The sequence below is a fragment of the Homo sapiens genome, chromosome 1 (assembly GCF_000001405.40).
Source record: "Homo sapiens chromosome 1, GRCh38.p14 Primary Assembly".
Classification (NCBI taxonomy): domain Eukaryota; kingdom Metazoa; phylum Chordata; class Mammalia; order Primates; family Hominidae; genus Homo; species Homo sapiens.
In genome coordinates, this window is record NC_000001.11 from 148,688,802 (window position 1) to 148,715,098 (window position 26,297).

General features: G+C 42.0%; 1 protein-coding gene across 4 annotated transcripts in view; it reads right to left on the reverse strand.

The window, feature by feature from the left end:
• NOTCH2NLB (notch 2 N-terminal like B) overlaps window positions 1-23,737 on the reverse strand; it is a 112,254-nt gene extending 88,517 nt beyond the window's left edge. For 2 of the 4 annotated variants that reach the window (NM_001395234.1, XM_047420582.1), the window contains exon 1: window positions 23,456-23,733. In NM_001395234.1, coding sequence (NP_001382163.1) covers window positions 23,456-23,614 — 159 coding nt within the window. In that variant the 5' untranslated portion in view covers window positions 23,615-23,733. Of the gene's footprint in view, window positions 1-23,455 lie in introns of all 4 variants that reach the window. The other 2 variants (XM_047420744.1, XM_047420606.1) reach the window with 2 other exon arrangements.
• Window positions 23,738-26,297: the final 2,560 nt, after the last annotated feature.

The following is a 26,297-nucleotide window of genomic DNA, read 5'->3' on the forward strand; positions in this document are numbered from 1 at the left end:
AGTCCCATCCGTTGTTTAGATAACTGAATAAGTTATCCTCGAATCATTTATTGTAAGCCTAGTCTCTCAAGTTTACTGTGAGTCAAGGGCTAGGTCATATACCTCTTTTGTGCTCTTCTATATCGTGGCATCCAACCTCTTGCTTGTCAGCTTCCAACTCTGGCTCAACTTAAGGACTTCTTTTCCTGGCATCTGTCCCTTATATGGGAGGTGTTCATACAATTCTACTGATTGTTTTCACCTTACAACTTTTTATTTTGAAATACTCTCTTCTAAGTGTTCCTAGTAAATTTTTTAAAGCCAGCAAGGAAAAAAAATTCTATTTATTGCCAACTAATTATAAACATTAAAACATCAATTTAAAATTTAAAGGAAAAATGACCTATAATACCACCACTAATAGCATTTTCATGTGTTTTATTCATTTGTTCTTCATATGTATGTTCTTACAGAGTTGTAATCAAGACATACATATAGTTTTGTTTTGTTTTGTTTTTTTTAAGATGGAGTCTTGCTCTGTCGCCCAGGCTGGAGTGCAGTGGTGCGATCTCGGCTCACTGCAACCCCCACCTCCCAGGTTCAAGTGACTCTCCTGCCTCAGCCTCCCTAGTAGCTGGGATTACAGGCGCACGTGACTATGCCTGGCTAATTTTTGTATTTTTAGTAGAGACAGGGTTTCACCATGTTGACCAGGCTGGTCTCGAACTCCTGACCTTAGGTGATCCACCTGCCTTGGCCTCCCAAAGTGCTGGGATTACAGGCGTGAGCCACCATACCTGGCCGACATACATATAGTTTTTATCCAGATTTCTTAGGCAATTCATATACCATAAATATTTTCCTTTGTTGTACATAGTTGCCATACATAGCATTGTTATTGTCTGCAAAATATTCCAGCCTTAATTAATATATAGAGCTAGAATACTTTCTATATTAGTATTGGGATCTGTATCCAGAAGTTGTCCATCTTATTTCAAAGACAGCCTTTGGGGACAATCCCTCCATACTTCTTTTATTGCCAATCACAATTGGATGAATAAGTGGACTCTTTCTTTGTCTTGAATCAGGGAGATGGATCAGCCCTAAAGAATCCCCTGCTGTTGTTCTCCAATCCCCTCCCTAGCATTTACAAGTCTTCACCTCTCTGCTGTAGCCTCTTTCCTTCTTTCTGTTCCCCATTTTCTTCCCAGCAAAAGGCTTCACTTCCTACTTCACTAAAGACATCTCCTAGTTCAAATATCACCTCCCCTGCAAAACCTTCCCTAGCCCTCACCATTTCTACACTGACAGGCCATCTAAGGACTCCCTACCATCTCCCATCTCAACCTCACAACTCATCACTTATGTACCCACCTTTACTTCCTTGTGTTGTATCTCAGAAAAAAAGAGTCTTTCCTTCTTTCAATGCTAATTCTTCAGCATTGGCCATTGATTTAATTCCCTTCTGCCTTCTCCAGGACCATTTTGCATTCAATACCCACTGATTCCCACTGTCTCATCATTCATCTTTCCCTCTCTACTGGCTTAATCCCTCAGCCAACAGTTTTCTTCCAGACACACACACACACACACACACACACACACACACACACACACACACACACATTTTCTATTGTATTTCTATTTCAAATTCATCTTTCACTTCCAAACCTCTTAAAACAGTGGTTTGTCCCTTTCTGTTTTTATTTCTGCAATTTATTACAGCTTCCTCTTCTTACATTTATTGAGCACTTAAGATGTAAAAACAATATGGAAATAGAGATCGATAAAGCAGTCCCTACTCCCGAAGAGCTTCTAGTTAGTAGGGAAGATAGTAAACCAAATCAACACAACAAATAATATACATTTTATGACATAAATATGTGCACAAGTATCCATGGGGGGCTGCCTGGAGGAAATTGGAGAGACTTCCTAGGGAGGTGACATTTGAGTTAGGCCTTGAACAATGAGTTCAATATTATCAGGCAGAGACTGTACATATATTGCACATGACTGACAGGAACAATTTATGCAGATAACTGAGAAACCATATTAATGATTACTTAGGAAATATCAAATAATTCAGGTGTCATCAGAGTAAGGAACGTCTGGGGAAGAGATGAAGAGTCATTTAGGCTAGTTGTTCTCAAACTTTAGCATTTATCAGAATCATCCAGAAGACTTGTAAAAATGCCAATTGCTAGGCTTCATTCCCAAAGTTTTGAAAGGGGTGTGGGTTGAGCCAGATAATTTACATTTATAACATTCTCAAGTGATGCCAGTGCTGCTGATCTAGGGACCACACTTTGAGAACTACTGGCTTAGTAATCCAGCTTCTGCTTCAGTCGTTATAGTGAAATTACTTTTAGATGTCACCAAAGATCTCCAACTGTCAAATGCAATGAACTCATTCTCAGTCTTCATTTTCCTTGATGAGTTTGCAGCATTTGACATCATTGGCAATTTCAGTGAGCTCTTAACTGTCTCCCAGCTTTTAGCCTCTCTTTTAGTCCATTCAGTACTCTGAAGCCCACAGGATTGTCCAAAATACAAGTATAAACCCATCACTTCATACTTAAAACTCACCAATGGCTCCCCATTCTCTACAGTTAAAGCCCAAACTGGACAGACTGGCATGGAAAATCGTTGGCATTCCGACCACATTTACCTCTCCCCCTGCTGCTGCCCAGGATTGCATAGCCTTTGTTCCAGGCACATCAAGCTACCAGCCAGTCCCCAGACATGCTGTGGGCTCATGTCCTCTTCACCTTCATATGTGCACTTCCCTTTGCCTATAATGCCCTTGCTGCCTCCCCTCCCCTATCCCATCCTCCCCTGGATCCATAGTGATATAGTTGACCCATAGTGATATATGGTTTGGATGTGTGTCCCCTCCAAATCTCATGTTGAAATGTGATCCCCAATGTTGGAGGTGGGGCCCAATGGGAGGTGTTGGATCTTGAGGGCAGATCCCTCATGGATGGCTTAGCGCCATCCCCTTGGTGATAAGCAAGTTCTCACTCTTTTAGTTCACAGTAGACCTGGTTGTTTACAAGGAGCCTGACACCCCCCCCGCTCTTGCTCCCTCTCTTGCCATATGACACACTGGCTCCCCTTTGCCTTCCAGCATGAATGTAAGCTTCCCAAGGCCCTCACCAGAAGCAGATGCCAGCACTCTGCTTCACCTACAGCCTGCAGAACTGTGAGCCAAACATACCTCTTTTTTTCTTTTTTTCTTTTTTTTCGTGACAAATTCTTGCTCTGTTTCCCAGTCTGGAGTGCCCTGGTGCAAGCTCCGCTCACTGCAACCTCTGCCTCCCAGGTTCAAACAATTCTCATCCCTCAGCCTCCTGGGTAAGTGGGATTACAGGCTTGTGCCACCACACCCAGCTAATTTTTCTATGTTTAGTAGAGACAGGCTCTTGCCATGTTGGGGAGGCTGGTCTCAAACTCCTGACCTCAAGTGATCCACCCGCTTCAGCCTCCCAAAGTTCTGGGATAATAGATGTGAGCCACCAGTCCTGGCCAAAATAAACCCCTTTTCCCCTTAAATTACCCAGTCTCAGGTATTCCTTTATAGCAATGCAAAATGGACCAACACCTATGGAATTTTGGGTGAAGGCCTAGCTCCAATGTCATCTTCTCTCCAAAGCCTTCCTCAGCTTCCTGGCTCCTTTCCCTGAGGTCCTCCACGGTTGGTTTCTATGTATTATATATACCACTTAACAACTAGTTGAACATGTGATTACTATATGCGGACTTGCTTCAGTCTCTGAATCTTACTCTGAATCTATCTTGTTATTTTTGTTATTCTCATAAAAGGCTTTCAATATAGGTGTATTGAATGAATGTTGGGAACATAGTACACATTTGATAAATAATGATTTGAGTAGGCACTTGCTGCTTACCCAGTGGAACAGGCAAGCAGGCAAAGAGGAGGAGGAGGACACAAAGAGAAACTATGTTAATGAGCAAGAATCAAATGTGCCACCTCACAGCCTCCTGACTCCCTGCCTTAGAGGGTGAACCACAGGCTATTTCCCATGATTCCCTCTTCTTTGATGACACAGTGATTTGTCAGCTCTGTGGACTGGAGAGTTATGCAGCTGCCTTTCTCGCTTTCAACAAAGTACTTGCTGGAGGACTTATCCAAAGCTGAGAAGCAACACCTGTGGGGACTGGGCAGGAAACACTTTAGTAGTTTGTCTTGGTGCATGCACCACAAGCAGACAGCCATTTGCCTTCCATTTAGTTTCTGCAACTGAAGGAATACTGCGGGATTCTCTGCCGCTAGGAAGAAGAGAGCCGCCCCCCCCCCCCCACCATCCATTCTTCCTCTCTCTCTCTTCCTTAGTCTTACCCCTGCACATTCTGATTGTTGTGGTGACCAGATCCTGCAGAAATAAAAGAGGCCTGAGTTCCTATGTGGCTGGGCTGTATCCTCCTCCTTCTCTAATAAAGCTATGGCGTTAAGGAAGCCCTATCAACTGATGAGCTCAGAATGCCCATGCCTTTTGTCACCTAGCCTTTCCCCATCTCTGTGCAAATGGCTACTAGAACAGCCATTTATAAAGTGACAACTATGTGTTGGGTGTTTTGCATACATGATCTCATTAGATCCATACAACATTCCTGCAAGAAAGATATCTTTATCTCCATTTAACAAATAAAGATACTGATGCTCAAAGAAGTCAAATAACTTATCCAATGTTGACAAGCTAACAAGTGGTAGGGGTCAGATTTGAACCTATGTTGCAACCATTTTAGAGTCCTATATGTTTTCCATTATTTATATCATCTTGGAGAACTAAAAAAGGTGAAAGTTACAGAGTCAGCCAGTGTCATAGCAGGAATTAAATTCAAGGTGTTCTGATTTCCAGGGCAGCCTACAAATATCCACCATATTGAAAGAACTGTTTGAATGGATATGTTTAATGTTCCAAGAATTTATGAAACTTAAAAATATATGTTGATACTACAGTTTGAAAAGGACCCAGAATTGGAAAAGCTGCTTGTTCATGAGTGTCCCTTGTCTCTACTGTCCTGTAGTCAGTGCCCCCTCAAAGTTGGATGCATCTGAGTGGAGATGCTTTTCTGTCACCTAAAGTCACACATTTACCTTTGATCCAGACCCTCCCCAGAAGCAGTGCTTTTGAAATCTCTTCTCCTCTTCTTTTTGTTTGACAAAATATAAATGATAGTTTATTTCTAGAACGATGCCAAATTCAATAAAGCAATGATGGAGTTGTGTTTCGTTTTCTGGTCAAGTTGACACCATAAAGTGGGTTTTCCTGAATATTTCCCTGTTCCACTGGTGTTCTTGGCATTGTGAATAAACAGAGCTGGTGATAACATCCATCATAGAATTAAGCACATTGAGTGGGTGATAAAGTCAACAAGAAGCTGAAACAAGAATTACCACGGATAAGCTGCCAAGAGTTGGCTGTAGATTCTAAGTGGACACTGTGGCTCATTCATCTTCGCCCTTCAGCTTTCCACCCCAACATCATCCCTGCCTCAGCACTCATGACAAGAGTAGGAAAGTAGGAGAGAAGGAAAGCACAGGGATCAAGTACAGGGGACAAATACATAGCATTGATCTGCCTGAGATAAAATCTAAAGACGCAGTAGTAAATTCTTAATGAGTACTGAGAGAGAACAAAGAAAAATGTTGTGGGTTTTGTTGTTGTTGTTGTTGTTGTTGTTTGAGACAGAGTCTCCCCCTGTCGCCCAGGTTGGAGTGCAGTGGAGCGATCTCGGCTCACTGCAAGCTCCGCCTCCCAGGTTCATGCCATTCTCCTGCCTCAGCCTCCCGAGTAGCTGGGACTACAGGCGCCCGTCAACACACCTGGCTAATTTTTTGTATTTTTAATAGAGGCGGGGTTTCACCATGTTAGCCAGGATGGTCTCGATCTCCTGACCTTGTGATCTGCCCACCTCGGCCTCCCAAAGTGCTGGTATTACAGGTGTGAGCCACCGCACCTGGCCGAAAAACACTTTTTAAGTCAAAATGAACCAACTAACAAACAAAAGTCATATTCCAGAAGTGCAAGTAGACACAAATGATCACTGGGCTTCTTTTAAGCAACATTCTGTTTTCTTGTCCTAACCTATCTCAAGCTAAGGAAATTCTAGGGTCTATTGTTCAAAGACTTGAAATGTTTTCCTTGGATTATTCCCACTCTTATATTTTTCTTGCCTCTTTCCAAAAGTGCGTTAAAAATGTCCAGGTTTTTTAACTCATTAAGATGCTCATCAAGCATCTTAATGAGTTAGTCACGATTACAACTGCATCTTTTAAATTACCCAAACTGTTGAAAGGCTGCCATGAAAGGAGCTTCTACAAACAAAATCTGGGCTGTATTTCTCATTATCTTATGTTGCAAAAAGTGAATGAGGAGTTACTTCCAAAACAGTAATTAGCATAAAGGCTGCTGAAGCAGAGGAGAGATAGGTGCGCTACTGTCTCAATGGAAAATGTCACTGTTTTTTCTGCAAGGAATATGTACATTACTACTAAAGGAGAAGCTCTTTGCTAACAAATGTGAAAGGGTTTCACACAGTTCATGGCACATAATAAGTGCTCATAATTTGTTTGCTTCATCGGAATTCTCTCTGTAGTCTACTTCTCAGTCAAATAACTGTGACTACCTCCATTTCCTCACAATCCAGTCTCCTTATGTTCCTTCTGTTACAGGAATTGCAGCCTCATCACCTATCACAATATTTCTCAACCCTTTTCTTTTCATTATTGCCTTCCTAAGGAGGCTTTTCCGATGTTTTTAAAAATTGCTCTCCTCTATCAAATTTTGGTACCATAGTGTGATGGTTAATTTTGTGTGTCAACTTTAGTGGGCTACGGATTGCTGAGATCACTGGTAAAACATTATTTGTGGGTGTGTCTGGGAGGGTGTTCTTGGAAAAGGTTAGCATTTGAATTGGTAGAGTGAGTAAAAGATCACCCTTGGCAGTGTGAGTGGGCATCAAGCAATCCCTTGAAGGCCTGAATAAAACAGAGAGGTGGAGGAAGCACAAGTTCACTCTCTCTTCTGGAGCTGGGACATCCATCTCCTCCTGCCCTTGGATATCAGTAGTGTTTCTGGTTTTGGGGCCTTTGGACTTGGACTGGGACTTACAGGATTGGCTCTCCTGGTTCTCAGGCCTTCTGGCTTGGACTGGAGTTATAATACACCAGTAACTTTCCTGGGCTTCCAATTTGCAGACAGCTGATCATGGGACTTCACAGGTTCCATAATTGCATGAGCCAATCTCTCGTAATAAATCTATTTCTGTGTATCTATATATAATATATGCTATCAGTTCTGTTTCTCTGGAGAGCCCTAATACACGCAGATATATTGTGATATCGGTTTATGCATTGTATGTATATCTGCACTTTGTACATTTAAAAAATTAAGTTGTTTTTTATCCCCCAAGATCAATTCTCACTCCCATTGAGAATGTGCAACCTATCAGACCACAGCAGACTGATTCAGGACACAGCAGAAGCAGATCACAGAAATAGATGCTAGACAATTGATTTGGGCGAAAATCAGTGCAGATGTCCAGCATAGAAGTTTGTCTAGATCAGGCTTTGTAAAGGTAAAGACAGACAGTTGGCCATACAGGTTAGCCAAACAAGACACAGGTTGGAGAATACAGCTGACAGCAGTGTTGATGGAAGATAGGAGGGCAAGGTTCAAGGCAGGCAGAGATGTGAGAAATATTTGTCCACTGGGTCAGAGAATGCTTTATATAGAGAAATATCATCATCCAGAAAAGTTCCGTGAAAGAGAAATTATTCTCAGTTCTGAAGCCAGATTTAGACATTTTGCCTTTGTTCCTCAGGAGCCTGGACCACCCAGCCAACTGTGCCCTATTGATGAAAATCTCTGATTATTATAGGGGAATACATTATGTTGGCTTCTGTATTCCCTGAGAACCATCTACATCTCCTAGTACTTTGAAGTCGTGGTATCAGATGAAAGAACCAAGCCTTCCAAACTGACTTGGAGCTGTGCTGAGGTGTTCATGGCCTCAAGCATTCAAGCAGGTTGATTGGATATGAGGTGTGATATTCCTTTTCCTCAAGTCATTTATCCTCTGGAGATCCTAACCTAACCTAATCTCTCCTAACCTAAAAACAGGAGCAGACCCAGGGTCCTGACTGGGCATTCTCATTATGCTTCCTAAAACCATTAGGATCTCTTCGTGGTCACATCCAACAGCCTTTCTCTTTCTCAGGCCTGCAGCTCACTGCATGTGGTGCTGCCTCTCACATTCTCCTCTTTAATTAGAGGTCAGCCACTCTAACTCCAGCCTTCATCACACTCTGCCTCTAGGGTCTTCTGAATGCTGTCTTTGAGGGTCTTCTCAGTCTCTTCCTTCCTCTTTATCTTTTATCAAAGGCACTCTTTTAATCTTTTGGTTCCTTTCTGTTGCCCCTCCATTCTCATCTGTTTATATGTTCGCTTTAAGGTCATAAACATTATTGAGTGCTTGCTATATGCCTAGTACTGATATAAACAAGATATGGCTTTTGTGCATTCTTGTGATGGAACAGATACATATATAAAACCAAGCAAAACACAATGTGAAATATGTAATACAGATCTGTACAAAATGTCTTAGCAACTCAAAAGAGGAAGTGATGAATTCTGTCTTGAGACAAATAAAAGGCATTGCAGAAGGAAAAAGTTTTGATTTGTGCTTTGAGAATGAATTAGGGATTTATGAAAAGAAAAGTTGGAGGAAGGGCATTACAGACAGAGAGATGAGGATGGGATAGGAACAGCATGACCAAGGAAGGTTAGAAAGGCCATGTGACTGGAGGGGAAGCAGACAAGCGTGGGCAGGGAGAGTGGTAGGCAACGACCCTGCAAAGTTAGGAATGCACCACAACTGTAGTCACCATTTAAACCTACATGTCTAGTTAACATTCAAATGGATCATTGCACTGCCTGGGACATTCATTTTTAAAAAGTATAATTTAGCTCCTACTACTTGCTATATACCATGTAACATGCTTACCGCTGGTAATACAAAGATAAATAAGCTGTCCCCTCAAGAAATCAAAATATAATAGAGAGGTAGATGTGTTTTAAAAGTTATTATGTGCAATACAAGCCAACCCATGCAGTGAAGGTAGTATGTATATGACACAAAATAGAGAGTGATTAGCTCTGAGCAGAACATGTTTCAGAGAAAAAGTGATAGCAGAGCTTTAAGAGACTAATTGGGGTTGGGTGGTGCAGTAAGCAGAATAATGGCTTCTCAGAGATATCCACATCCCAAACTTGTAAATGTTACCGTACATGTCAATGAGGACTTTGCAGATATGACTACGTTTAAGGAAGATGGGAAGATTAGATTATTCAGACGAACCTGATGTAATCACAGGGGTCCTTATAGAAAAAGGAGGCAGGAGTGTCAGAGAAAGAGATGTGACAATGAGGGACCATCAGCCAAAACCAAAAACAAACAAACAAAAACAAAAACTGTGGTTAGAAGCTGGAAGAGGCAAAGAACAGTGTCTCTCCTCCAGCTCCAGGAGGTATGAAGGTCTGCCAATGCTTTAATTTTAGCCTCATGAAATAGCCTCATTTCAGACTTCTGACCTCAAAAAGAGTAAGTTTGTGATAATTTGTTACAGCAGCAACAGGAAATGAATACAGATGGAAAAGCAGCCAGGGTGCTGGGAGTGAGAGCATTTCAGGCAGAAGGAATAGCATAAGCAAAGGCACAGAGGCATGAAATAGCATGGCAAACCCTTGGGGCAGGGGTTACCAGTTGTTTAGTGTTGGTCTGGTTTAAGAACCACCAAGTAAGGAGCAGAAGAATGCACTGGCATGCAAAGCAAGTGCCAGATGACACAAGGCCTGGTAAGGAGCAGCCCTACCATGGAGCTTAGGTATGCTGAAGCTTAGAAGGTAAATCAGGAGCCATTTCATGGTTTCACACAAAAAAGGAAAAACACTGAATTTTCAATTTTGGAAGAAAAGCTTAATGGGGAAGAACCCAGGGCAGGGAGACCATTTAAGGAAGCTATAACAAAGTCCTGGAGGGACGTGGTGGGGCTTGAACTAAAGCAGTGTGAATAGCAGGAGAAGGCAGGGTAGCGATATTTAGGATTCAGAGAGTGACCAAATATGAGGAGCAAGGAGAAAGAGAAGAGTCAAGGATGACCCCACATTTCTGATTTGGACTTTGATGAATGTCCATGTGCTTACTGACATGGGAAAAACTGGAAGTTCCTCCCAATATTTCTTAGATTCATATTTTCTGAATCTCTGTATCCACTAGGCTAATCCACCCATCAACCTATGTCTAGACAGTCTTTAAAGTCTTCCTAGCCACTTTTTCTGATTCTAGCCTTTACCCTTCTCAAGCTATTCTCCACGATGTTGTTAGAACAACTAATTCAATATTCATAAAATATTTATTTAGTGCCTGCCATGTTCCAGGTTCTGATATAGACTCTGTTCATATCATAATGAACAAAACAATTTTAAGAATAAGTTAGCTTGCATTTAATCTAGAAGATCCTTATAGAAGGTAATTTTGGGTAGTTCCATCTCCAATTCGTATCTTCTACAATGGCTTCAAATTTCCCGTCACTTTATATCTAAATTTTTTGGTGTATGCTCAAGCTCTCTGTCAACTTCCTTGCACCAAACGAGCTGTAGGGCCTCTTAACTTACAAATGGGTTGTGATCTAAAGCAGTGATTTTCAAACTATCTGTGTGGTTAATTTTTTTTTAATTTCCAAGCTTGTGGTCTAAGTGTCTTCCTGCGTATGACTAGGGCACAGGTCATGCCACCTGTGACTCACTATGAGAATTCCACAACACCCAGACCAGTCCATACCCTGCTCATTGACATGAGTCCACTGACAATGTGCTTGTATGTTACAGCATTCTCGATTTGCTCTAAAAATTTCTAAATGCTTACTCTCAATTTTAGCACCATCCACATACCACATTTGAAATCTCCATACTTAGTAAGCCCCTTACTAAAACACTTTTGAGGGATTTGGAACACATTTTTTATAAGTGCCTAATTGTATCATGATGGCATTTTTTTACTTTTTTTTTTTCCTTCAACTTTTAAGTTCAGGGGTATATGTGCAGGATGTGGGGGTTTCTTACATAGGTAAATGTGTGCCATGGTGATTTGCTGTACAATTCATCCCGTCACCTGCTTATTAAGCCCAGTATCCATTAGCTATTCTTCCCGACACTCTCCCTCCCCTCACACCCTGCTCTGACTGACCCCATCATGTGTTGTTCCCCCTATGTGTCCATGTGTTCTCATCATTCATCTCCCACTTATAAGTGAGAACATGCAGTGTTTGGTTCTCTGTCCCTGCGTTAGTTTGCTGAGGATAATGGCCTCCAGCTCCATCCATGTCCCTGCAAAAGATATGATCTTATTCCTTTTTACGGCTGCGTAGTATTCCATGGTATGTATGTACATTTTCTTTATCCAGTCTGTCATTGATGGAAATTTAGGTTGATTCCATGTCTTTGCTATCGTGAATGTGCTGCAATGAACATAAACATGCATGTATCTTTATAATATAATGATTTATATTCCTTTGGGTATATACTCAATAGTTGGATTACTAGGTCAAATGTTATTTCAGCCTCTAGCTCTTTGAGGAATTGCCACACTGTCTTCCACAATGGTTGAACTAATTTACACTCCAACCAACAGCATAAAAGCATTCCTTTTTCTCCACAACCTCGCCAGCATCTGTTGTTTTTTGACTTTTTAGTAATAGCCATTCTGACTGGCATGAGATGGTATCTCATTGTGGTTTTGATTTGCATTTCTCTAATGATCAGTGATTTTGAGCTTTTTATCATATGTTTTTGGCCACATGTATGACTTCTTTTGAGAAGTGTCTGTTCATGTCCTTTGCCCATCTTTTAATGGGGTTTTTTTTTTCTTGTAAATTTGTTTAAGTTCCTTGTAAACTCTGGATATTAGACCTTTGTCAGATGAATAGATTGCAAAAATATTCTTCCATTCTGTAAATTGTCTGTTCACTCTGATGATAGTTTCATTTGCTGTGCAGAAGCTCATTAGTTTAATTAGATCCCATTTGTCAATTTTTGCTTTTATTGAAATTGCTTTTGGTATTTTTGCCATGAAAGCATTTTTTTTTTTTTGGCTCACCCATTAAAACCTATATTGGCCATGCTAGCTTAGGTTTTTCCTGTAAACAGACCTTAGACTATGTGGAGGCAGGAGAAGGAAGAGCTCTGGGACGACTCTTTGGTACACCATTTTCCTTTAAAGAATGAATGCTTCTTATTGTGCCTTCCTTTTCATGTTTTTCTTTTACTTCTCCTTAACCATCCCATTTCATGCAAACGAAGATTAAAATTAACGTGAAAGACTCTCAAATTTTTATCAAGTTCTTGCCAGAGGTATTCCAACCACTTCAATTTTACCAGCCCTAATTAGATAAAGCTATTTAGCATAAATCATAGTTGCAATTCAACCTCAGGCTTATGAACTGGCTGGGACTAAAAAAGAGAAGGAGCCTTTTGTCTCCGATTCACTGGCTCAACGCTGGGGCTGGCTTATGTTGGACTTCCTCCAGCCCCCAATGAGTATGTTTGTAGCCTTATATTACAGTTCTTTCAGGACCTTTTTTTCAATCTATATCCTTTCTTTGATTTTTAACACTACAAACTCTTTCTTCCCTGTGAATAAACTCTTTTTCTATGGCTCTCATGACTCCACATTGGATTTCTTTGTTGTCTCATTCTCCTCTCTCTCCTCCTTAACCGAGGGCCTCATTCTAGACCTTCTCTCGCCCTCACATGCTCTCAGATGCTCTCATCCTGTCCTATGGAATCAGTTATTACCTAGAGAGACTCATGCCCTCAACTCTTTCCTGAATATGAGACATGTAATTTCAACTGCTTTCTCAACATTTTCATTTAAGTATCTCGAAAGCATCACAAACTCAACTCGATGTTATTTTTCTGCATTCCATATCAGGACAACGCCATCTGCTTAAACGTTCAAGATAAACACTTGGGATCATTTTTGACTCCTCATTTCCCTTTATTCCCCATCTTCAGCTGATTGCCACTCACCATTCCACCACTGCTGTGTTTATTTCTCCAATCATTCTCATTTTCTCCATCTCCACTGCCTTGCCTCAGGCCCTCATCAGTTTTCACCTGGACCATTCTCAGTTCTCTGAACCCTCAGATCACCAATGCCCCACCCAGACTCTAAGATGCAGTCCCACTCCTCCCTGGAGCAACCTCTCCTGGTCACTGCATTGTCCTTTCTCTCTGACAGGCATATCCAATCATCCCTACTCTTGAATACTGACCTTCAAAACTCTTCTTTCTTTAGCTCTTTGTAATATAATCAAAACTCCTTTCTCAGCATGAATTGCCAGGCCTTTTAACACACAGCCCCTGACTAACTCATAGCCTCTTCTTCTGGTTTAACAATAACAATAATAACAGCAAACCACCACATCCCACAGTCCATCCTCTCAGGTATCCTCAAATTTCCCAAACCTGCCAACCTTTCCACCACTTCTCAGGCCCCTGTACCTTTGAGCATTCTATTCTGGCGACCAGCTATGAACCAACCCTTGCCCTGCCCTGATGTTCCTCTATTTGGTATACATGCTTCAGCTTCCAAGGCAACTCCTCTAAGCACAGTTCACTGCTCCTTCTGTTGCATTCCCATAGCATGATGTAAGGGCCTCTATGGATGGTTCATTCAATGGAGTTGTTCTGAGCCAGGCACTGAGCTAGATTCTAGGGGTACAAAGATAAAGATGGCCCTTACAAAGATGGCTCTTAAGGAGCTTATCTTCAATTAGTAGAGAAAGACATAAGTGTAAATGGCAAGTACATTTATGTATTTTAAAACAATCGGCCGGGCGCGGTGGCTCATGCCTGTAATCCCAGCACTTTGGGAGGCTGAGGCAGGCGGATCACGAGGTCAGGAGATCGAGACCATCCTGGCTAACACGGTGAAACCCCGTCTCCACTAAAATTACAAAAAATTGGCCGGGCGCGGTGGCTCACGCCTGTAATCCCAGCACTTTGGGAGGCCGAGGCGGGCGGATCACGAGGTCAGGAGATCGAGACCATCCTGGCTAACACGGTGAAACCCTGTCTCTACTAAAAATACAAAAAATTAGCCGGGCGAGGTGGCGGGCGCCTGTAGTCCCAGCTACTCCGGAGGCTGAGGCAGGAGAATGGCGTGAACCCCAGGGGGTGGAGCCTGCAGTGAGCCGAGATTGCGCCACTGCACTCCAGCCTGGGCGACAGCGAGACTCCGTCTCAAAAAAAAAAAAAAAAAAAAAATACAAAAAATTAGCCGGGCATGGTGGCGGGCGCCTGTAGTCCCAGCTACTCGGGAGGCTGAGGCAGGAGAATGGCGTGAACCCAGGAGGCGGAGCTTGCAGTGAGCCAAGATCACGCCACTGCACTCCAGCCTGGGCAACAGAGCAAGACTCTGTCTCAAAAAAAAAAAAAATCAATGTTACAAAGCACTATAGGTGCTGTAGGAGAAATATGGGCAGGACAAATAAACAAAGGAAGGAATGGTTAATTCTGTCTGTGGGGTTGGAGGTGGAAGGAGAGAAACCTAAGGAAATCTATTACAAGAGAGATAACCCTCCTGGAGGGTAATGAGAGGAGGTCATTCCAGGCAGAGAACAGCATAACAAAGGCCTGGCAGGATGAAAGGGCCTGCTATATTTAGGGAAAAGCCTGCTATATTTAGGGAAAAGCAATTGGTTCTCTATGGCTGGATCCTGAGCATCAGCATAGACCCAGTTAGACAGAAGGCTGGAGAACAAGGGGAAAGCTTTACCTTACAGGCAACAAGGAGCCACTGCACGGTTTTACACAGGGTTAGATACATTACAATTTGTATTTTCAGAAAGATCATTCTAGCAACAGTGTACAGAGTACAGTAAAATATTGGAGGGTGGTCTACATGTGTACTTTTCTTATTGGGTTGTGAGCTCCTAGATGTCAAGTATTGGGGCTCTTTAATTTCTATCCTCCCAGTGCCTAATACATTTTTTCATCAAGCAATAAGAGAGAGGATCTTCAGCCTGGCCAACATGGTGAAATCCCGTCTCTACTAAAAATACAAAAAAATTAGCCGGCTATGGTGGCAGTATGCCTGTAGTCCCAGCTACTGAAGAAGCTGAGGCGGGAGAATCTCTTGAACCCGGGAGGCAGAGACTGCAGTAAGCCAAGATTGCACCACTACACTCCAGCCTGGGCAACAGAGTGAGACTCTGTCTCAAAAGAGAGAGAGAGAGAGGATCCATGATGTTGGTGCTGGCATGTGGGTCTGGGACACAGGGGAATGTAGCTCTAGGCCAGGCTGTGCCAGCTTGGTGAAGCATTAGCAAGTCACTCTGTGCTTTTGTTTCTTCATCTATAAAATGGTGGCCTGCACAAGATCATCTTTCAGTTCTCTTTTGCTCTAACGTTCTGTAATTGTATAAGGGAGGTTCCTTTTTCTTCCTTTTTTTTTTTTTGTTTGCAGTCAATATTTGGTAATACAAATAAAAGTTTACAGAGGTGGATGTCAAGAGGTAAGTGCACTGTGAAGCACAGGTCGGCCAAAAGTTTACATGAGCTATTTCCTGAAGAGTGGGCAATGACTCTGGTTCAATTATTCACACGGTAAAAGGATGCATTTTTCCTGTTGTGGGAGTACAGAATTGTCTCCTCAAGTGTTGACTCCTTTTAAAAGGAAATAAACAGAACTTGGACTACTCTTCTTCTTATTATTATAAGGCTTTAAGTCTTCAAATACATTTTGAAAACATTAGAAGCCTGAGAGACACCCAGCAGTTTTGTCCACCTTAAGTTAGTTCTCTATTTATTAATTCAGCATAGTACACAGAGCTCTACCAGGTTCTCCATGTCCCTCTCATAACTGTTGCCTGTCTTTGACTTGGTAAAATATGCTGTGACATTTCTGCTTCATCAGCATATTACTGGCCTGATCACCAGAATTTAAAATTCAGGATCTCCAGCAACAGAGCCAATTTCTATTGACCACCCGCTCAAAAAAGCACAGGTTTATTTTAGCCTCCATGCTATTTGATCTTTACCTTGATGATGCTATAGCCTTCAACCCTCTTGATAAAAATCTTTTTTTGCTGATATATTACTATCTTTTACCCAGAAGTTTGTTTTCTTAAAGAACAAGTTTTCTCAATGTACTTCACTACCATGAACTGTCTGCAATGATATTGAAATGGAAATATTTAAATTTAATTTGTTAGAGATTTTGTGTTCAACTTTTAAAATTTAATGATGTATTAACCTTTTCCTAAGAAATAATATTTACTGTCTAGTATCAAGCTCAACGATATAAATCTAATTTTGTAATATAATATCTATATTTATTCATAAAACCAAAGAAAATTCTCACTTTGACCACATTTTCTTAATAAGCTATGTCCCTGGGTTTCTTTTTACAGTAAAACATAGCTGCTAAATTTATGCCAGAGCATAACTTTCCAGAGTGGCTTGTAAACCAGCCACAGTAATTTCAAGATATTTCAACTGAGTTCAACCTCCTTTATAAAAAATGTTTAGAGGAGGAAAAGAGACTGTTATTATTATAATTTGGAGAACAGAAAGAGAAAGATAGTGGTGACACCACCCATCTCTTATTCTCTCACAGACATTGTCATGCTCCAGGTGGGGTGGGTGGTGATGCCAGTAATCCCCTGGGCTTTGACTTAGCTGAGCGTGGACTCAGTTTTCAGTTGCTTGGCTTGTTCTTGAAGAGTAAGCTGACAGGGTAGATTTGGTTCTCAGCGTATCATCTAAACAAACAAAACATGTAGGGTAGTAGTTCCACCTCCAGTGAGGGGCTCAGCCTTCTTACAGAGCACTTTTCTCTACTCTCAGCCTCCTGTGCTTGAGAAACAGCAGCAACTGGGCCTGGCTGGGCTAGCTCTCCGAGGCTGCTATACAAAAAGCCTGTATTCTAATAGACTCATTAACCCCAAAACCTATTCAGAGCACCTAACTTTCATTTGTTGAACTGCACATGAAATATATTTGGGGATATAAGGTTAATATTTCTTAGGAATCAAGAGTCTCCTCGCTAGTTAACTTTAACACAACAGAAAGTTCTTTTTTTTTTTTTTTTTTTTTGAGACGGAGTCTCACTCTGTCACCAGGCTGGAGTGCAATGGCCCGATCTCGGCTCACTGCAACCTCCGCCTCCTGGGTTCAAGCGATTCTCCTGCCTCAGCCTCCCAAGTAGCTGGGACTACCGGCGCCCGCCACCACGCCCAGCTCATTTTTTTGTACTTTTAGTAGAGACGGGATTTCACCGTGTTAGCCAGGATGGGCTCGATCTCCTGACCTCGTGATCTGCCCACCTCAGCCTCCCAAAGTGCTGGGATAGCAAATTTTAAGCCAAAACCACTATCTGAGATTTACACAAAGCATAATTTTAGCTCCTCTTTTGTTTCATGAAGTCTAAATAATATTCTCTAGAAGAATTCCCAATATGCAGGCTGATATTTACTATTGCTTTCTTTATCTTCGAAGTGAGATGATGCCAAAACAATTGTTTTTGAATATCTTATGCAAGAAATAATAATGGAAAATAGAAATGTTGTCACTCCGGATAAGTTTTTTCCCCATCCCACAGAAGTTGGAAAAAATAGCATGAAAAGAGTCACTGAAAGGCTAGAATATCACAAATTAATAAATAATAAGTCTGAGTGCTTTCCCATTCACTTATTTTGCCTGTTTTTTGCCCCCCCAGAAGTACCAATTGTGAAAAGCTAACCTCATATCAAGCCTGGGAGAAAGAAGAGGGAATTGTCTACTGACTTAAGAAAAGTGGCAGATAAAAATAAAACATGCATTTTGTTACACAGGAAGATTTTAATGTATAGAAATAAATTTTATGATGTTTATTGAACATGAATTACATTGGCATACCTCGCTGCTTTTGCATACTGACAACTGGTACCTGGTAAAAACAAGTTCTTGAATGAATGACCCTCCACCTTTCATTCTCACAAAAGTAGCTCTCCTTCACTTCTTTTGGTTCTCAAAAGGTTACTATCCAAACAACTACCTCTTGTGAAAAAAAGAGCGGAAGAAGATGAATTGTTTTTAAAACAAAGCTTGTCAGTTTTAGAAACAAACTTAACCAATTTCAGTGTGTAGTAGGTAATCATTCAATAAATAAGCGCCAAACATGTAAACAGGTCTAATTGCTGTTGTGATAAGCCATCTACTTGAAAGATGCATATGGAGATAACTAAGTCTGTAGTTAGCATGAAGCATGTTAAGTAAGATTAACATGAATGACAAGTGTGGCCTCCAGAGTCAGATGGTCTGAGTGTGAATCTTACTGTCAATCACTAACTGTGAGATCTTGGGCAATATTTGTGCCTCAATTTCCTCATCTGTAAAATGGAAACAATAACTCATAGACTTTTGTAAGATTTGAATGAATTAATAACTGTACAATGATTAGAAAAGTAAAAGTACCTGATATACAATAAGCACTTAATAAATGTTAAGATTTAATTACATGGATTGATTCTGCTTTAAAATTCTTTGTAGCAATGAAATGCCCTAAATTTTTCATGGTGTATGGGACTGAGACTGAAATAATAGACTACAGTTCCGGAAACTTTTTAAAGTGGCTCCTAAAATTATCTTGTCACCCAGGTGCAGTGGGTCACACCTATAATCCCAGCACTTTGGGAGGCTGAGGCAGGTGAATCACCTTAGGTCAGGAGTTTGAGACCAGCCTGACCAGTATGATGAAATCCCATCTCTAGTAAAAATACAAAAGTTAGGCGGGCGTGGTGGCGGGTGCCTGTAGTCCCAGCTACCCGGGAGGCTGAGACAGGAGAATTGCTTGAACCTGGGAGGCAGAGATTGCAGTGAGCCGAGATCGCACCACTGCACTCCAACCTGGGGGCCAGAGCAAGACCCCCTCTCAAAAAAAAAAAAAGTAAAATAAAATTATCTGTCTTCTGGAATACTTATAATTTACATTAAAGCAGACATTGAAATCTTTTCAGCCAGAACCTATACCTGTAACCATATAGCCAAAGTTACATTTGTTTAAAAGTGAATTTTCATTTTTGCTCCTCCCCTTTTTCATTCTCCTATTCCCCCCCCCCCACCTTTTCTACTGGTGTAGCATTTTTTTCTATTGATGTAATTTTGATTTCCAGTTACAGTAAAGACACTTGACTGGATACCATACAAGAGATACAAGAGGCAACTATATATATATATATATCTGTGTGTATGTGTTTGCATGTGCGTGTATGTATATATTCTATATTAAATAGGCTGTAGAAATCTTAGTATTACATACAGCATTGATACTAGGGAAAACACATTCCACAATGGCAAATAATTGCGTATTCATTTTTATTCTTCTCAGTGAGACAAGGGCCTGCGGTTATTGATTAGACCAGCTTTGTCTTTAATTCCCTTCCAGTAATGAAGAGGAATACTCTTGCCTGAGAGAACAGGGTGGTCTTTCAGGCCTACTTAAGCTGGGTGAGATGGAGCACACACCCCAACCAGGAGGTGTGGAGGTTCACTGCCAGGACACCCTTATGAGTTAGGTAGTTTACCAAGTGTCATGTCTTAAAGGGTTATGAGTGGGATCATCTCTCCAGATTATCTGCTGCACTGACTGACCTTAAATCACTCTTGCCATGATTTAAGTTCCTTATACTCCACTGTGGCTTCCCCACTGTGATTTATGGTTTGCCAGTAAAAAGTAGTAATCCAAAGTAGTAATAGATCATGTTCTTTCCCCTATTTGCAGCCACTCCTATTGAGTGATTTGAAATACACTTATTTTATGTGATTGTCAAGCCCGGCAATACAGACAAACTAATGCTTTTAGGATTAAAAATCAAAAGCCCTCCCCTGCAAAATGTCCTAACTGTATGTCTAGGAATTACTTAAAACATAAAATTTGCTTATCAAATATAAACAATACCAGGTTCAAGATAGAAAATAAACACAGATTTCAGGTAAAATATAAGTATTGTATCAGCCAGGGCCTGCCATCCCCAACTTGACCCCATTGCCCAAGCTGATGTCTGCCTCTTGCAGACGGCCTTGCCCAATCCCTGTGCCAGTGAGAACCATACCTTGTTCTAATCCAATTCTTTCTCCAGAAGAGAGAAGAGAAATCAGGAAATAGTTTATTATTTCAATTCCCAGCACCTAGCCCAATGTCTGGCACAGTGCCTAGAATATAAAGAGCATTCAGTAAATATTGATTGAATGAACAAATATGCTGTCACCAGGCTGACCCCCCACCACCTGCCTCAACAGAGCCAGTATCCAGTGTGATCTGGGATGGATTTAGCTTCCTGGGGCTTCCCATATGCATTAATCTTCTGTTTCCCTATCTGCCCCTCACATGTGTGGCTGACCATCCTACCTGGCCCTTCTGATTTGGATGGTCATCTGCCCTGGTTCTTTCTCTAAAACCCCTTGGAGTACCACAGTGGAGTCTGCAACACCAGCTAATGGGCCAGGGGGTGAGAAATGCCAAGGGAGCCAGACCTTCTTACTTGGGTCCTATAATTCTTTTTTTTTTTTGAGACGAAGTCTCACTCTGTTGCCCCAGGCTGCAGTGCAGTGGCGCCCAATCTCAGCTCACTGCAACCTCTGCCTCCCGGGTTCAAGTCATTCAGCCTCCGGAGTAGCTGGGACTACAGGCACACACCACCATGCCTAGCTAATTTTTGTATTTTTTAGTAGAGACGGGGTTTCACCATATTGGTCAGGCTGGTCCTGGACTCCTGACCTTAGGTGATCCACCCACCTCGGCCTCCTAAAGTGCTGGGATTACAGGTGTGAGCCTCCGCGTCTGGCCCCTATAATTCTTTTTCCCTAAGCCAAAGCCTTTTTCAAGGGTCTCTTATGTTGCCTGGGAACCTCATCACTAACAACTCTGAGTCCTAATGTTGACAACCCCTGCTTCCCAAAGCTGTGCACTGCTCCCTGGTCCATTCTTTGAATACTATTGCCAGAATAGTATCGTCTCCATATTATGACTCAATTTTTACTCTTTTTGTCTTAAGGCATTTTACTCTCATGTGTTGTGCAGTTATAATCCAAGTATGAAATCCAATTAACAGAATTTTATCATAGATGTGCTAGAAGCTACAAGGATTTGGTCTGTTTCTTTCTTAGTTTTCAGTTAGCCAATCTTTTCTGAAAGAAATTGAAGCCACCCTCCTCTTAGAAAAACAATCCTTCTTTCTTCATTTTATTTTCATGGGCTGCTTCTAGGAGTATATTGAATTCTGCCTTCCATATTTCTAATCAGGCTTCACAGTTTCTTCCTTTTCTGTCCCTTTCTCTCTGTTCCTATTTCTGCCATATCAACTAAGGCTTTCCTTAGCTCTTGCTTTACCTATAGCAATACTACCTACTTTGTCTTCTTACTTACTACACCAGTTTATATTGGCTCTGATCGTTATTATCTATGGGGGCTGAGGCAGGTTGCTTTCACTCTGATCCTCAGTTTCCTCACCTGTAAAGTGGCCATATTAGAGTATGGACCTTGTAAGGGTGGTATAAATGTAAGCAAATATCCTTGGTTCTCCTGAGCCATAAATCCAAATGTGATCATGTTAATTAAAAATCTTCATAGTTCTTATCCTTCCCCAAATATTTATGAGAAATTCATGAAATGGATTAACTCAATAAATATTGAGCACTCTGTGTGAGTCACTGATGTGGGCTCTGGGGACACAACAATAAACAGACAGACCTGGACACTGCTTTCTTGGCATTTGCTTTTTGGGACAGGAAAAACGATGATTAAAAAAGAAGAAAAAGAAACAAAAATGACAAAACATGAGATGATGATAAGTGCTATGGAAAGAAAGTCGGGGTAGGCAGAGGGTAGGAAGGCAGAGGGGTTGCTCGGTTTTACATAAGGTGGTCAGGGAGGGCCTCATCGAGTAGGTGTTTTTGTACAAAGACATTTGGGTGTCATTGGTGGACAGATCTTACCTGTGTTCTTAAGCCAGTGTTGTCATCATGTGTATTGTTATAGTTAGCCAGACACCAAGATGCTGGCACTGACAGCACCACTGTGAGCTAAAAGTCCACAAACGGTGTCAGCGTGGAGCCCTGCACAGTTACCCTAGCCAATAATGCTTTTGAAAAACAGGAAGTAAGAGAGTTGACTTTTTCAGCATTAATGCTCAAGGTAAAGTGTTATGACTGAATTAACTGAAATCAACTACTATTTCCTTAACACAACTTGGATAAAAACCTTTTTCTGCAATCACAGCTGGCACTGTGGTGCCGGTTTTATGGGAAATTGAGGGCTATGATAGCCCCTGTGATGTCTGTCAGCATCCTCTTTCAAAGTGGGAAAAGAAAAGCTCTCTTCCTTAATATAACACTGAGTTACCAGTTACTGGGCGATAGGCCCTAGAGCATTAAAGAGTTTCATGGCTCTTTCCATGACTCAGAGGCCCTTCTTTGTTTTCTTCTGGGAAGACACATGCAAGGAAGCTGGGTTAGGCCCTTCCCTGTGACAGTCAGACTTACCACGACCTTCCAGGTCTAAAGCCCAGTCTTACCGTTACAAACTCCTTCCTCAACCAACGGTGCTCTCTCCAGGGGCCCCACCATTCCTGCCAGCACTCTGCCTACCTCTGGAACTGTCTCCAGACATGCCCATGAATGCTGAAGACCCTACTGAGGCAAATATTTCCATTTTGCCCCCAGCAAACTTCTCAGCCCCCTTATAAATCAATGGATGCCAATCATTGCTTAAAGGGAAGAGACATTGTCTAATTCTGCATCACAGCCATATCTGTCTGAATTCTGACCCATCTGGGACATTGTATTGCACAAGAAATAGAAAAATAATTCATGAAGTTCCTAGCATAATTCTTCTGTTTAGTAGGTATTCAAAAATTGGTAACTATTGTAATTACTTAGGTAGTAGTTTAATGGGCAATTGTAAACATATTGTTTATAATTTTTGTTTTTTTCAAAATGTTTTACAAAATCATGTGTTATATAATAAGAAGCAAATTCTTTCAAAAAAAATAAAACACACACACACACACCAAACTCTTGACACATAGCTGTTTTCTTCCCCTCCTTTTCATCTAAACTTCTCAGAAAAGTGTCTTGCACTCACTATTTCCACTTCCTCAACTTGCTTCTATCTAGCTTCTGCCCCGATCATTCCTCTAAAAATTGATCTCACTGAAGCCACCAGCTGCTTTTGAATGTTCTTCCCTCAGGAGTATGTTGGTGGGTCTGGGAAGGGAAGGCACCCTCAGGTAAATAATAACCCAGAGCAGAGTGGATTGAGTAGAAGGGAGAGGACAAGGATACAAGAGGTGAGGCAATGTCATCCAAGTTGAAAGAATGGTGCAGAACCAAAGTTGGATCCAAACACTCACCTTGTCCAAGAGCCAGGCGTTCCAGTTAGAAGTCTGCTCACCTGAGCAGAAGAGAGAGTCCAGAAACAAGCCAACTCCAAACAGGTAATAAACTGAAAAACCAAAGTAGTCCCAGAAGGAAGAGTGCAAGGAGTTGGAAGGCCAAGAGGAATTCCACATTCAGCAACTTACCAGCTGCATTTGGCTGGGCTTTCCTGGGAATATGTGATGAAACGTCCAGATCTACAATGCTATCTCTTTCAGAAATGAGAGATGGGCTCCCAGGGCACTCCTATACTGGATATGTCAACACAGTGCCTGCCACACCCAACTTCCTCTTTGAGATGAAAGTGCCCCACCCACAGCCCCCTGCTTTGAGAAGCAGAGGTAGGTTGTTCTTTGCCCAGGGATGGCTCCTGATTGGACCAGTGATTGGCCCTTGACATTAGGGGCTGCCTTCCCAAAAACCAGGGCTTGAGTGGAAAAGGTAAGTTTGATCAATCAGATTCTCTCCTTCTGGGATTTGAATTGGGAAACATGGATAGAAAGAAGCAGTTAGCCATGGGAGCTGAAGCTGAAAGGATGGCATACAATGGAGTGGAGCCATGGAGGATTATAGCAAACCAAAACTATGAGGAAGCAGAACCATGTGATAAGAAGGCAGAATTTATGAATAAGCAACAATTCTGAGGTAGAGAAAATACATGAAAAGTAAACAGAATTTTTTAGTTGGAATAAGACAGCAAGAAGCAAACCTGCAAAGAGTCGCAAGAAATGAGAAGTGGTGCACAATTGTCATTAAGATCCTATCATCTGGCTCAACTAAGAGCCAGTTTCAGATCACCCGGATTTACTAAGGCTCCTGTGCTCTTCATCAGATTTACCCCAGCTTTCCAGGTTTCCATGCTGGTATTTCTTGGGCTCCTACTATGAGCTAGGCACAGTTCTAGGTGTTTGGGATCTAAGGGCAAATGAAACAGGAAAATACTTAAACCCCTCATAACTTGCGGCAGGGTCTCTGTTTCAAAGGGCCAAGTTGAAATAACTACTCTTGACTTCACCATTTCCCATGGTCCAGTTGGTGTCATTATGTTGTCATTATGAGTCTACACCCACTTTGGCATGCAGTTCATATATATCACCTCCACTGCTAGGGTGGGTAACTGGAGAATCAGGAAAAGAGAAAATAAAAAACAGAAGTTGGGAGATGGGACATGAAGGAAGTCAGATGATGTATGATAATGGCAGCAGAGTGGCTGAATGCCCAGGCTTTAAATTAACTTGCGTTCAAAATTTTGCTCTATCACTTATTCATTATGCGGCTTTTTTGGCAGGTCAGTTTTCTCAGCTGTGAGCTAGAGATAAAATAGCATTCTCCTCATTGCATTTTTTGAGAATTAAGTGAGAAAATATATGCAGAGCATTTAGCGTAGTACTTGGCCCATAGTAAATGCTTGATAAATGGTAACTATTTTTGCTGATGCTATTATTATCAGCAATCCTCTAGTTTTCCCATTAGTTGGATAGAATGAATGGGCTGGCGGGGAATTAGATGGCATCCTATGCTCAAACCTCTCTGAAGGCTGATGCCAGCCATAACACAGTAGGCTCATTAAAGCTCCTTCTAGTTGGTGCATTCCTTCCCGGGTACTGTCTAGCTGCAGGAATATCAATAATACCAAGAAGAGGGCCAGGCACGGTGGCTCACGCCTGTAATCCCAGCACTTTGGGAGGCCGAGGCGGGCGGATCATGAGGTCAGGAGATCGAGACCATCCTGGCGAACACAGTGAAACCCCGTCTCTACTAAAAATACAAAAAATTAGCCAGCCATGGTGGCGGGCGCCTGTAGTCCCAGCTACTCGGGAGGCTGAGGCAGGAGAATGGCGTGAACCCGGGAGGCGGAGCTTGCAGTGAGTCAAGAGATCGCGCCACTGCACTCCAGCCTGGGCCAAAGTGCGAGACTCCGTCTCGAAAAATAAAAAAATAAAAAACAATAATAATAATACCAAGAAGAGGTGTAAAAAAAACACTAAGGACAAAAACCTTTGTATGCAAAAAAGCAGTTCTGGAGGGCAGGCAATAATAATTAGTGAAAGCAAAGTGTGTAGCAGTGATATTAGCCAGAGCAGTCAGTTGTGTGGGGGAGGCAAAAAAGCACATTTGTTTCTTAAGCACTACTTTTGTCACCTGTCTAGGGGTGGTGGGTATGTGGATGTAGACCTGATAGGCCCAAACTGAGGCACAGCTGAGGGCTGTGGTTGGAAAGCAGTGCTTTGAGAGACCATGAAAGTAGAAGCCCTCTTTTACCTATCAGGGTATAAATGACTGGAATGGGTGGAGGAGCAATGCAGGGAGGGAAGAGGGCAGAGTCAGGGAAGAGGTCAAGAGGGGCAGACCTCCCAATGACTTGGGAGGCTGAGGTGGGAGGATAACCCGAGCCCATGAGTTTGAGTTCAGCCTGGGCAACATAGCAAGACCCTGTCTCTATAACAATCAATCAATCAATCAATCCAGGAAGCGGGCAGACAACAAATAGAAGTCCCAAAACTGGAGTTTCAGATGCGAGTGTGGATCAGAAGGAGTCACCGCGGCTCTAGAGGAACCCTGAGGTATCTTTGCTTTGGGTCCAGGTGCTTTTGTGGTAGTGTACCAGACCATATCACCTCAGGGAGGGCCAGTGGCTGTGCTGAGGCTGCATTCTGGCCTTCCTAGCAGGGATGAGCACTGCCTTGCTCCTATGAAGAGCTTCGTGGCATTTAACATCAATCCAAATTGCCCCAAGAGGCCCTGTATCAGGATTAAGACCATGCATAAATGTCTAAAATACATCATTTGAGCAGAATGATTGTGAAATACTCAAGC